Source organism: Homo sapiens, chromosome 5 (assembly GCF_000001405.40).
Source record: "Homo sapiens chromosome 5, GRCh38.p14 Primary Assembly".
Lineage (NCBI taxonomy): Eukaryota > Metazoa > Chordata > Mammalia > Primates > Hominidae > Homo > Homo sapiens.
Window position 1 is genome coordinate 100,379,299 of NC_000005.10, and position 14,365 is coordinate 100,393,663.

The window sequence follows — 14,365 nt, forward strand, 5'->3', positions numbered from 1 at the left end:
AACCGTCTGGGTATGGACGGCCCTCCCATTGGGCTGGGACAGGATGCTGATCTCCAATAGCACACGTCCACCACAGTCTGCCATCTGCCAGGGTCTCCTGCCTGATCCAGCCCAGGGCAGGCAGTGGGCACTGACTTGAAGGAGTAGCCAGCAGATTCCAGGAAGGACGCAGGCTCGTTGGCCACAGACCACATCATGATGGCGGGTGGTTCTTGTCTCTTAGCACCGGTTCCTCCACCACCCACATATGGTGATGCATAGACACGTTGTTGAAGAGTTGCCAGCGGGCCAGAAGGGAAGGGACAGAGGGTCACGGTGTGGCCCGAGGGCTGGCCAGGCAGAGCGGGTGCGCAGCAGGGACTCATGGCAGCATCAGGCCCACAGCAGGACACTCATCGATGACCACAATCCCATACCGGTAACATATCTGCAGCATCTCCTCCGTGTAGGGATAGTGGCTGGGGCAGAAGGTGTTGGCGCCAAGCCAGCAAAGCAGGTTGAAGTCCTTCACCAGCAGCGGACAGTCGAAGCCCTTCCCTTGGATCTAGGGGACAGCAGAGCCGAGTGACCCCTGTCCCTGTCGAAGCGGCACTTCCTCTGAGAGCCAGGACCCTGGAGAACCACCCCATGAGGCCCCCTCTCCAGCCCAAGCACCGGCTCCACCATGGGGTGGTTTGGAGCCATTTGCCTCATTGCCTTGAGCTGCCCTCAACTGCAGGACACAGGGAAGGCTAAAGTGGAAGGTGACCAGAAGCAGCCCCCACGACGACCCAGGAGCCCCAACGCACGTCCGCATCCTCATGCTTGTTGACGCCGTGGAAATAGAAAGGTTTCCCGCTGATGAGGAACTGGCTCTCGGTGACGGCCACAGTGCGGAGCCCCACAGGGAGTGTGTAGAAGTCAAAGGCCCCAGTGACTTCTGTGCAGTCAGCCACACCTACGACAGCCAAAGTGCCAGCTGTGAGCGCCCCGACAGCCTGAGCCCCATCTGGCCTGCCCTACAGCAGGAAGACCCCTCGTGCATGCACCCCAGCAGTCACCTCTGGGCCTGCAGAGAAGCAGCAATCAGAGGCTCTGCCCTTCACTGGCTGACCCTGGGACCTGCCCTTCAAAATCGGGCCTTCTCCTTGACCAGACGAGATGGCTCATGCCTGGAATCCCTACACTTTGGGAGGCTAAGGCAGGAGGATCACTTGAGTTCAGGAGTTCAAGACCAGCCTGGGCAACAGAGTAAGACCCCAACTCTATAAAAAGGATTGTTTTTGGAGACAGTCTCACTCTGTCACCCAGGATAGAGTGCAGTGGCATGATCTCAATTCACCACAGCCCCTGCCTCCTGGGTTCAAGCAATTACCCTGCCTCAGCCTCCCGAGTAGCTGGGATTACAGACGTGCACCATCATGCCCTGCAAATTTTCCTATTTTAGTAGAGACGGGGTTTCACCATGTTGGCCAGGCTGGTCTCCAACTCCTGGCCTAAAGTGATCCGCCCGCATCGGCCTCCCGAAGTGCTGGGATTACAGGCGTGAGCCACCATGCCCAGCCTACAAAAAAAATTTTTTTAATTAGCCAGGCATGGTGGCATGTGCCTGTAGTCCCAGCTACTCAGGAGGCCAAGGTAGGAGGATTGCAGCTCAAAGCTGCAGTGAGCTGTGATCAGGCCATTGCATTCCAGCCTGGGTGACAGAGTGAGACCATCACAAAAAATAAATACATACATAAATAAATAAATAAATAAATAAATAAAAGTAAATAAATAAATAAAAAATCTGGGCCTCCCACCAAGGGTGGGAAACACCAGAAAGCTCAGAGGACCACACCTGCCCGTTCACCTGTCCTGGGATCCTGCTGAAGCCAGGGCTACCAGATGGGGGCAAAAGACCTCCCTTAAGCAAGTCCCAAACCACCATTACCTCCCACGAGTACAGGTAGGCGGGGTGTTCGTGCATCAGGTACGGCCACCAGAGGTTGGCACCCAGCACCTTCAGCTGGCCCTGGGTCCCAGCCTGGTTGTCCACGACCTTGTTTTCTGCATTCAAAAGACACACTTCCAACTTGAACTGGTTACTGCACTTGACGGAGATCTGGTAATTCACCAGCCCTGCAGGAGGCAAGAGAGACCAGGGCTTAGGGAGGGACATGACCTGGGTCACACAAACGGGAATGCCCCACAATGACCACTTCCAGGCACTCTCATTTGCTTCTGTTGCTTTTTTTTTTTTTTTTTTTTTGAGATAGAATCTCGCTCTGTCGCCCAGGCTGGAGTGCAGTGGCATGATCTGGACTCACTGAAACCTCTGCCTCCCAGGTTCAAGTGATTCTCCTGCCTCAGCCTCTGGAATAGCTGGGATTACAGGCACCTGCCACCACATCCAGCTAATTTTTGTATTTTTAGTAGAGACGGGGTTTCACCACATTAGCCAGGATGGTCTTGATCTCCTGACCTCGTGATCCGCCTGCCTCAGCCTCCCAAAGTGCTGGGATTACAGGCTTGAGCCACCGTGCCCGGCCCTGAACCAATGCGCCCGGCCCGCTTTTTTTTAATTTAATTTTTTTTTTTTTTTTTTGAGATGGAGTCTCACTCTGTCACCCAGGCTGGAGTGTAGTGCTGCGATCCTGACTCACTGCAACCTCCACCTCTGGAGTTCAGGTGATTCTCCTGCCTCAGCCTTCCGAGTACCTGGGAATACAGGAAGGCACCACCATGCCCGGCGAATTTTTGTATTTTTAGTAGAGACGGAGTTTTGCCATGTTGGCCAGGCTGGTCTCGAACTCCTGAACTCAGGTCTCCCAACCTGAGTTCCAACCGCCTCAGTCTCCCAATAGATTAGATATATTATTAATGAATTGCTTCCTTTAACACCCTATTCATTGAATTTTCCAGTAAACCACAATTACTAATTACTCCTGAAATCAGAAAAGAGGTTAAAAACATTTTTTTTTTTTTTTTTTTTGAGACGGAGTCTCGCTCATTCGCCCAGGCTGGAGTGCAGTGGCGGGATCTCGGCTCACTGCAAGCTCCGCCTCCCGGGTTCACGCCATTCTCCTGCCTCAGCCTCCCAAGTAGCTGGGACTACAGGCGCCCGCCACTACGCCCGGCTAATTTTTTGTATTTTTAGTAGAGACAGGGTTTCACCGTTTTAGCCGGGATGGTCTCGATCTCCTGACCTCGTGATCCGCCCGCCTCGGCCTCCCAAAGTGCTGGGATTACAGGCGTGAAAAGATTTTATAACAGTATCCTATGAAATCTACTACTTTCAAGTAATAGTAGTTGAATTACCAAAACCCGTCACTCAAGCCAATGACTACAATTAAGATATCAGTAACATTTCCTAGATAAATAATGTCAATTAATTATATTTGCATCTGGGAAATACAGAAAGTACATATAAGCCATGATTTTGAAGTCAAAAGAGAGAGAATATTTGGCAAGGAGGGGTGAGTTATAGTATGTAATTATAACATATAGTAGTTTTTTGTGTGCTGGTAACTAATTTTAATTTCCTACATTTTTATGTAGATTTCTGCTATTCTTGTCCTATTTTCCTAATCATCTTTCTGTATGGATGACTACATAAGTCTGAAAATACCAAAAGAGACAGACACAGAACCAATCGGATTCCTTTCTTCTTGAAGCTTCTGCACAGCAAAAGAAACTATCAACAGAGTGAACAGACAACCCACAGAATGCGAGAAAATTTTTGCAACAATGCACGTGATAAAGATCTAATGTCCAACACTGATAAGGAACTTAAACAAATTTACAAGAAAAAAAAAATCTCATTAGAAAGTGGGCAAAGGACATAAACAGACACTTCAAAAGAAGACACACATGCGGCCAACCAGCATATGAAAAAAAGCTCAATATCACTGATCATTAGAGAAATGCAAATCAAAACCACAATGGCATACCATCTCACACCAGTCAGAATGGTTATTATTAAAAAGTCAACACCGGGCATGTGGCTCACGCCTATAATCCCAGCACTTTAGGAGGCCAAGGCAGGCAGGTCACATGAGGTCAGGAGTTCCAGACCAGCCTGGACAACCTGGCGAAACCCCGTCTCTACTAAAAATACAAAATTTAGCCCAGCGTGGTGGCGGGCACCTGTAATCCCAGCTACTCAGGATGCTGAGGCAGGAGAATCGCTTGAACCCGGGAGGCAGAGGTTGTAGTGAGCCAAGATCATGCCACTGCACTCTCCAGCTTAGGTGACAGAGCGAGACTCTGTCTCAAAAAAAAAATTATATTTGAATTTTGTTTAAATCGCTAACACATACTGGGCATTTAATAACAAAAAAAAGGACATGAGATTGTGATCCTTATGAGGGTTTGAGAGGCATTTCACTAGGGTTCAACATAGAGCAGTCTGAAACATACTGTAATAATTTAATCCAATGGCTCATCTACAGCACCTAAAAAGATTACAGCAGATTCTCATTATTCAGTGTAGTTACGGTCTAGAAAGTTCCATGAACAAATAAAAAGTTAGGTTTCAGCAAGCTACTGGTCATATTTTTGTAAGCTTACCAACACCTACTTTTGTTGTATGTGTGCTTATTTAATATATATTGTTGGCCAGGCACAGTGGCTAACGCCTGTAATCCCAGCACTTTGGGAAGCCAAGGCGGGCAGATCATTTGAGGTCTGGAGTTCGAGACCAGCCTGGCCAACGTGGTGAAACCCCGTCTCTACTAAAACTACAAAAAATAAATAAATAAATAAATAAATTAGCCAGGCATGGTGGCGCATGCCTGTAGTCTTAGCTACTTGGGAGGCTAAGGCAGGGGAATCGCTTGAACCCAGGAGGCAGAGGTTGCAGTGAGCCAAGACTGCACCACTGCACTCCAGCCTGAGCAACAGAGTGAGACTATATCTCAAAAATAATAATAATAATAATTAATTAAATGAATGAATAAATAAATAATATACATTGTTCATTCATTAACACTGAACTCACAGCCAATGGCACTACAGCACTCACGCCTGAATGGAGTTGATTTAATGCATGTATTTTCTCTGTAAGGCACATCACAGACTTCTTGGACTTGTGAATGCTAAGCAGCACTTCAGCACTATGCTTGGGGGTTAATTTAAATGGCAAAACAACCAACAAACAGTACAAAAATAGGAAAAGCATGGCATTAAATAGACCACAAAAAGGATACCTGACTATTGTATGAGAGCTGAAAAAGAAGGCAGAATATCACCCTGTTCAAACTCAAATTCTTTGACACTCTATGCAAACACATGACTATGAAAGTGCTGTGAGTACTGATTTGGGGGTTACAAAAAATAGTAGGTGAGTTCACAAATACAAAAGCTGAAAACAAGGAGGATCGACTGTATTTTCGTAGACAATCTAATCTCATAGAATATTTCAATTCAGACAAAAATCATGAGAATTACTATATTACAAACGGGCACTAGATGGGGGAAAAGAGTAAAAATCAGAATTAAAACAAAGGTTCAAAATTCTGCATCAACCATATCCAGTTACACTTTAATATGTTTGTGGCAGACTACATTATTGTTCCCAACTCATCACTCCTCCCTATATCTACAACCTTTCCCCAAGACAATGCAGTTCCTCCTGCTAGAGATCAGGTATATTTATCTATACTATCAATGTGAGCCATGGACAAGGTACGTGATTTGGCTGACGGAATGTTAGTGGACATGATAGAAGCAATGGCTTAAAATGTACTTCCAGAACTGGAGTTTCCTTGTGATTCTATCACTGTGACAAAAACACATTCTCAGGTAGTCCACTGATCCAAGGGGGAACAAACACACAGAAAACATACCTAGACTATCTGCAGCTTGCAGCCTCACCAAGCCAAGAACAGTCAACTCACGGATATGTTAGCAAAAATAAATGTTTTTCGTACCTTAAGTTTTATATAATTATTGACCTATAGTTAACTGATATACAATATACATTAATCTTAAAATATCATTATCCCATTAAAAATATTTACATTAAAAACTGATCACTTTCTTCCCTCCATTTTTTTTTTTTTTTTTTTTTTTAAATTAAGAGACAGGGTGTCTCAATGTTTCCCAAGCTGGAGTTCAGTGGCTAGTGGCTATTCACAAGAACGATCATCGCACACTACCTCAAACTCCTGGGATCAAGCAATCTTCCTGCCTCAGCTTTCCAAGTAGCTGGGGCTATAAGTGTGTACCACAGCATGTCAGCTCTCTCTCTTCTTCTTGACCTAAAGCCTAGCATAAAATTAGCTAAGTAGAATGTTTCCAAAGATGCCTGCATCAGTATCTCCCATCCCACATAATTTCTGTTTGATTTTGCCATTCACCCATAAAATGGTGGGATCTACCTCCCCTCCTTGCAAATTTGAGCTGGCCCTCTGATCCTGTCTAAGATCTGAAGCCAGATATTAACGTACTTAATTAATTTCCATGTTTGTCCTCTATGCAACCTAGCAATCAATCAAGAAGTCAAAACCTACTGATTTACTTTGGATGTGTCCCCAGCCAAATCTCACCTAGTATTGTAGTAATTCCCACGTGTCAAGGGTGGGGCCAGGTGCAGATAACTGAATCATGGGGATGGTTCCCCCCATACTGTTCTTGTGGTAGTGAATAAGTCTCATGAGATCTGATGGTTTTATAAATGGGAGTTCCCCTGCACATGCTCTCTCCTGCCTGCCACTATGTGAGACATGCTTTTGCACCTCCTTGCCTTCCACCATGATTGTGAGGCCTCCCCAGCCATGCAGAACTGTGAGTCAATTCAACCTCTTTCCTTTATAAATTACCCAGTCTCAGGTATGTCTTTATTTGCAGTGTGAGAACAGACTAATACAATAAGTTGATACCAGTAGAGTGGGGTGCTGCTGTAAAGATACCCGAAAATGTGGAAGCAACTTTGGAAATGGGTAACAGGGAGAGGCTGGAACAGGTTGGAAGGCTCAGAAGAGGATAGGAAAATGTGGGAAAGTTTGGAACTTCCTAGAGACTTGTTGAATGACTTTGACCAAAATGTTCATAGTGATATGGACAATAAGGTCCAGGCGGAGGTGGTCTCAGATGGAGATGAGGAATTTGTTGGGAAATGGAGTGAAGTCACTCTTACTATGCAAAGACACTGCAGGCATTGTGCACCTGTATTAGAAACAGGCATAAGATAGGCGGGAAAGAGTGAAAATAAGAATTTTTTTCTAGAGTTCCCTAGAGATCTGTGGAACTTTGAACTTGACAGAGATGATTTAAGGTATCTGACAGAAGAAATTTCTAAGCAGCAAAGCATGCGAGAAGAAGCAGAGCATAAAAGTTCAGAAAATTTGTAGCCTGATGATGCAACAGAAAAGAAAAATCTATTTTCTGAGGAGACTGGGTTGTAGAAATTTGCATAAGTAATGAGGAGCCAAATGTTAATCACCAAGACAATGGGGCAAACGTATCCAGGGCATGTTAGAGACCCTCACAGCAGACCCTCCCATCACAGGCCAGGAGGCTTAGAAGGAAAAATGGTTTTGTGGGCCCAGAACCCCCTGCTGTGTGCAGCCTAGGAACTTGGTGCCCTGCATCCCAGCTGCTCCTGCCATAGGTAAAAGGGGCCAAGGTACACCTTAGGCCATGGCTTCAGAGGGTGCAAGTTCCAAGCCTTTCAGGTTCTAGGTGGTGTTAAGCCTGCAGATGCTCTGAAGTTAAGAATTAAGGTTCATGAACCTCCGCCTAGATTTCAGAAGATGTATGAAAATGCCTGGAAATCCAGGCAAAAGTTTGCTGCGGGGGGGAGGGGGGGCCCTCATGGATAACCTCTGGTAGGGCAGTGTCAAAGGGAAATATGGGGTTGGAGCCCCCACACAGAGTTCCCACTGGGGTACTGCCAAGCAGAGATGTGAGAAAAGGGCCACCATCCTCCAGATCCCAGAATGGTAGATCCACTGACAGCCTGCACTGTGTGCCTGGAAAAGCTGCAGACACTCAATGCAGCCAGAAGGGGGGCTGTACCCTGCAAAGCCACAGGGGCGGGGCTGCCCAAGACCCTGGGAACCCACTTCTTGCATCACCTAGATGTGACACATGGAGTCAAAGGAGGTCATTTTGGAGCTTTAAGATTTGCCTGCTGGGTTTTGGACTTGCATGGGGCCTGTAGCTCTTTCGCTTTGGCCAATTTCTCCCATTTGAAACGAGTGTATTTACCCAATGCCTGTATCCCTGTGTATCTAGAAAATAACTTGCTTTTGATTTTACAGGCTCATAGGTGGAAGGGACTTGCCTTGTCTCAGATGAGACTTTGGACTATGGAATTTTGAGTTAATGCTGAAATAAGAGTTTGGGGGACTTTGGGGAAGGCATGATTGCTTTTGAAATGTGAGGACATGAGATTTGGGAGGGGCCGGGGAAGCATTATATGGTTTGGCTCTGTCCCCACCCAAATCTCATCTGGAATTGTAACAATTCCCATGTGTCAAGGGTGGGGCCAGGTGGAGATAATTGAATCATGGAGGCAGTTTCCCCCATGCTGTTCTCATGGTAGTGAATAAGTCTCATGAGATCTGACGGTTTTATCAATGGGAGTTCCCCTGCACATGCTCTCTCCTGCCCACCATGTCTGACTAAATTTTGTATTTTTACTAGAGACGGGGTTTCACTATGTTGGCCAGGCTGGTCTCCAACTCCTGATCTCGTGATCCATCCACCTCGACCTCCCAAAGTGCTAGGATTATAGGCATAAGCCACCACACCCGGCCTCTTTTTTTTCTTTTTCTTTTTTTTATCTGGAGACTGAGTTTTGCACTTGTTGCCCAGGCTGGAGTGCAATGGTGCGATCTCAGCTCACTGCAGTCTCCGCCTCAGCAGGAGAGCAGGAATCTTCAGTGATCCACGGGCAGATCTGCAGCCACTGTGGGCACCTGCTCCTCCCGCGACCTTTGTGCCCGCGTCTCTCCCTCCAGTACCTATTGCACGACACCCCACGTCCGCCTCCTGCCATTGCCAGCAAGTGCCTTGTGCGAGTACCTGGCTGTGCTTATTAATCCATTATGGTCGCTCTGTCACTGGTGCCATTATGTGCTCACGTGCCCACTCCCTCAGGTTTAGAAGGCGCGTTGCCCGGCAACAGAAGAGTCTGCTGGCTTAGCCTTTGGCCGAGTTGGCAGCTGGATGAGGACGCTCAGAGCCCAGCTCTCGAGAGTTCAAGCATCCGACGGTTCCCCACTGCTCCCAGGAGCGGTTACCCGGGCACTCTGTGCCCCTCATTCCTGTTTGGGCCAAGGCTGAGGACCTGCGAGTAGGGCTCAGTTGCCTGGAGCCCCTTCAACCCATCCCCCAGTTCACTTTGCTTGTGGGATCTCCCCGTTGCTCCTGCCCCTGGACTGAGTGGCAGGTCATCCTACAAGCACCCAGACACTCGACATCAGTGGTGTCAAGACAACTCCAAGAAGGTTTTCCGTGATCCTGCAAGACCTGTGTTCCATCCTGGTGATTCTGCCTTCAATTTCACTGCACAGGTACCATAGCAAGTCAGTGCTGTGTGCTCCGAGTTCCAGGGCATCCTCCAGCTCGGCCACTACACTGAGCACAAGGACTCTGTGGGGCCCCAGGAGCAGGTAGTCACCCCATTGGGGTTCACAACACCCGGCTGTCCCCAGACTTGTGTCCAGGGAAGATAGTGTTGAGGGCCCTCAAGGAGAGCGGGGCAGGGATGCCTGAGCAGGACAAGGACCCTAGAGTCCAAGAGAATCCTGATGATCAGAGAAGGGTCCCCAAGGTCACCGGGGATGCACGGTCTGCATTTCGGCCCCTGCGGGACAATGGAGTCCTCTCTCCCTTTGTGCCCAGGCCCGGGCCTCTGCAGACATACCTCCATGCCCAGAGGTCAGAAATCAGATATAACCAGACATCCCAGAATACCTGGACGAGCTCGTGCACCAACCAAAATGCCATCTCCAGCTCCTATAGCTCCGTGGGAGGCTTGCTGGGGCTAAAGTGGAGGAGGGGGCCAGCAGGGCAGGAGAGCGGGGCAGGGATGCCTGAGCAGGACGAGGACCCTGGAGTCCAAGAAAATGCTGATGATCAGAGAACGGTCCCCGAGGTCACCAGGGATGCATGGTCTGCATTTCGGCCCCTGCGGGACAATGGAGGCCTCTCTCCCTTTGTGCCCAGGCCCGGGCCTCTGCAGACAGAACTGAATGCCCAGAGCTCAGAAATCAGATATAACCAGACATCCCAGACCTCCTGGGCGAGCTCGTGCACCAAAAGAAATGCCATCTCCAGCTCCTACAGCTCCACGGGAGACTTGCCGGGGCTAAAGCAGAGGAGGGAGCCAGCCTCATCCCACTGCCAGCTGACCCTCAGTTACGCAATGACAGTGAGTGAGGACAGGCTTCAGGCTGTCTCTTCGGGTCACACACGGTGTGAAAAGGCGGCAGATACAGCACCAGGGCAGACACTCGCCCCAAGGGGTGGCTCCCCCAGATCTCAGGCCTCTAGGCCCCATAGACACAAGATTCCCCTGCTGCCACGCAGGCGAGGGGAGCCTTTGATGCTGCCACCTCCCTTAGAGCGGGGGTACCGGGTCACTGCTGAAGACCTGCACCTGGAAAAAGAGGCGGCATTACAGCGGATCAACAGTGCACTGCAGGTTGAGGACAAGGCCATCTCGGATTGCAGACCCTCACGGCCTTCCCACACTTTGTCCTCACTTGCAACAGGGGCTTCTGGTGGGTCTCCCGTTTCTAAAGCACCCACTATGGATGCACAGCAGGACAGACCCAAGTCCCAAGACTGCCTGGGCCTAGTGGCCCCCCTAGCATCTGCTGCAGAGGTCCCCTCTACAGCTCCTGTGTCTGGGAAGAAGCACAGACCACCAGGACCCCTGTTCTCCTCCTCAGATCCCCTTCCTGCCACATGTTCCCACTCCCGGGACTCAGCCCAGTACACCTCGCTGATTCCTGCCCCCTTCACAGCTGAAAGCATGGATGCCGGCATGAGAAGAAGGAGGCCTGGCACATCGGCTCCTGCAGCTGCCGCAGCAGCCCCTCCCCCCTCCACATTGAACCCCATGTTGGGGTTACTACTCAATGCAATGGATGCAGGCCCCTCATATTTCTGGGCCTCAGCCACAGCTGCAGCAGGTGCCCAGAGGTCAGAAGTGAGATATAACCAGAGATCCCAGACCTCCCGGACCAGATCGTGCACCAAACGAAATGCCAGCTCGAGCTCCTACAGCTCTACGGAAGGCCTCCCGGAACTAAAGCGGAGGAGGGGGCCAGCCTCATCCCACTGCCAGCTGACCCTCAGTTCCTCAAACACAGTGAGTGAGGACGGACCTCAGGCTGTCTCTTCGGGTAACAGCCACTGTGAAAACAACGCGGATACAGCACCAGGGCAGACACTCGCCCCCAGGGGTGGCTCCCCCAGATCCCAGGCCTCTAGGCCCCGCATCAACAGTGCACTGCAGGTTGAGGACAAGGCCATCTCACACTGCAGACCCTCACGGCCTTCCCACACTTTGTCCTCACTTGCAACAGGGGCTTCTGGTGGGTCTAGCGTTTCTAAAGCACCCACTATGGATGCACAGCAGGACAGACCCAAGTCCCAAGACTGCCTGGGCCTAGTGGCCCCCCTAGCATCTGCTGCACAGGTCCCCTCTACAGCTCCCGTGTCTGGGAAGAAGCACAGACCACCAGGACCCCTGTTCTCCTCCTCAGATCCCCTTCCTGCCACCTTTTCCCACTCCCGGGACTCAGCCCAGGTCACCTCGCTGATTCCTGCCCCCTTCACTGCTGAAAGCATGGATGCCGGCATGAGAAGAACAAGGCCTGGCACGTCGGCTGCTGCAGGTGCCGCAGCAGCCCCTCTCCCCTTCACATTGAACCCCATGTTGGGGTTACTACTCAATGCAATGGATGCAGGCCCCTCATGTTTCTGGGCCTCAGCCACAGCTGCAGCAGGTGCCCAGAGGTCAGAAGTGAGATATAACCAGAGATCCCAGACCTCCCGGACCAGATCGTGCACCAAACGAAATGCCAGCTCGAGCTCCTACAGCTCTACGGAAGGCCTCCCGGAACTAAAGCGGAGGAGGGGGCCAGCCTCATCCCACTGCCAGCTGGCCCTCAGTTCCTCAAACACAGTGAGTGAGGACGGACCTCAGGCTGTCTCTTCGGGTCACAGCCACTGTGAAAACAACGCAGATACAGCACCAGGGCAGACACTCGCCCCCAGGGGTGGCTCCCCCAGATCCCAGGCCTCTAGGCCCCGCATCAACAGTGCACTGCAAGTTGAGGACAAGGCCATCTCGCACTGCAGACCCTCATGGCCTTCCCACACTTTGTCCTCACTTGCAACAGGGGCTTCTGGTGGGTCTAGCGTTTCTAAAGCACCCACTATGGATGCACAGCAGGACAGACCCAAGTCCCAAGACTGCCTGGGCCTAGTGGCCCCCCTAGCATCTGCTGCACAGGTCCCCTCTACAGCTCCCGTGTCTGGGAAGAAGCACAGACCACCAGGACCCCTGTTCTCCTCCTCAGATCCCCTTCCTGCCACATCTTCCCACTCCCGGGACTCAGCCCAGTATACCTCGCTGATTCCTGCCCCCTTCACAGCTGCAAGCATGGATGCCGGCATGAGAAGAAGGAGGCCTGGCACGTTGGCTCCTGCAGCTGCCGCAGCAGCCCCTCCCCCCTCCACATTGAACCCCATGTTGGGGTTACTACTCAATGCAATGGATGTAGGCCCCTCATATTTCTGGGCCTCAGCCACAGCTGCAGCAGGTGCCCAGAGGTCAGAAGTGAGATATAACCAGAGATCCCAGACCTCCCGGACCAGATCGTGCACCAAACGAAATGCCAGCTCGAGCTCCTACAGCTCTACGGAAGGCCTCCCGGAACTAAAGCGGAGGAGGGGGCCAGCCTCATCCCACTGCCAGCTGGCCCTCAGTTCCTCAAACACAGTGAGTGAGGACGGACCTCAGGCTGTCTCTTCGGGTCATAGCCACTGTGAAAACAACGCAGATACAGCACCAGGGCAGACACTCGCCCCCAGGAGTGGCTCCGCCAGATCCCAGGCCTCTAGGCCCCGCATCAACAGTGCACTGCAGCTTGAGGACAAGGCCATCTCACACTGCAGACCCTCACGGCCTTCCCACACTTTGTCCTCACTTGCAACAGGGGCTTCTGGTGGGTCTAGCGTTTCTAAAGCACCCACTATGGATGCACAGCAGGACAGACCCAAGTCCCAAGACTGCCTGGGCCTAGTGGCCCCCCTAGCATCTGCTGCACAGGTCCCCTCTACAGCTCCCGTGTCTGGGAAGAAGCACAGACCACCAGGACCCCTGTTCTCCTCCTCAGATCCCCTTCCTGCCACCTCTTCCCACTCCCGGGACTCAGCCCAGGTCACCTCGCTGATTCCTGCCCCCTTCACAGCTGCAAGCATGGATGCCGGCTTGAGAATGAATGCCGGCATGCGAAGAATGTTTTGTGTTCGAAATTGTTTGAGGGGTTTGGGTTTATATTTGTTGGTTTTTTTTTTTTTTTTTTTTTTTTTTTTTTGCTTACATGGGCATCCTTCAGCTTTTAATTATCCGAAAAATTCTATTTACCCATTGTCAATGTGTATAAATTAATCTGAGTGAATTTTATACAATAAAAGGCGAACTTTTATGCATGAAACAATAATTTACAAAAAGTGTACCAGAAGAAGTATGTTCATTACAAATATAGGAAACATAAATATTACCAAATATTGGCAAGCACTAAAATGTTCAGAAATATAAGTCTATTACAGTTATAGCTCTCTCAAGCAAAAAAATAGCAGAGAAAAACTTAGTTTACCTTAGGGGCTATTTATTGACTTAGAGATTTGCTAAAAGGTCAAATGGGGTCACACAGAATACTAAGAAGAGCTGTTCACCCAGACCTCACTAAGAACTCTTCTTCATTCAGTAGCTATATAGTAATATGACAACTGCTCCTACCACCCAGAGAGGAACTACAGCAACTACTCTTTAGCACCTATTGCTCCCAACTCTGCTTTCCAATTATATCACTCAAGCATTCTGGCTCCGTTAACTATTACTTCTGTTACTCCCAATTGAATTCCCTCTAACCCTCCCACTCTGCCTATTTCAGCTTTCTGCTGCCTCATGACTTCAATTCCATCAGAGTTATGCATTGTTTCCTCTGTACATCTTTGCTCTGCTTCCATTGCTAATTCCCTAGTAAAGTGTTGTATATTCAAAGTTCCAAAGAAACAGAATATCCAAGACATCACCAATCGTCCAAAACACAGTGTAGGAGGCCACAGTTAAGAGAAGCAAGACCATTAGCTCTTTTTATAGGCTGGAGAACAACAGGATGCTTTGGTCCTGTATCAGCAGGATGCTTTTTGGGTA

The 14,365-nt window shown here is 49.9% G+C and overlaps 1 pseudogene across 1 annotated transcript; it reads right to left on the bottom strand.

Annotated features, from left to right (window-relative positions):
- Nucleotides 1–206: 206 nt before the first annotated feature.
- Nucleotides 207–8,956, bottom strand: GUSBP19 (GUSB pseudogene 19; annotated as a pseudogene). Its single transcript, NR_027503.1, has 4 exons — nt 8,931–8,956; nt 1,913–2,100; nt 789–937; nt 207–544 (listed from the first exon to the last, which is right to left on the bottom strand). The product of NR_027503.1 is annotated as a GUSB pseudogene 19 (transcript).
- Nucleotides 8,957–14,365: the final 5,409 nt, after the last annotated feature.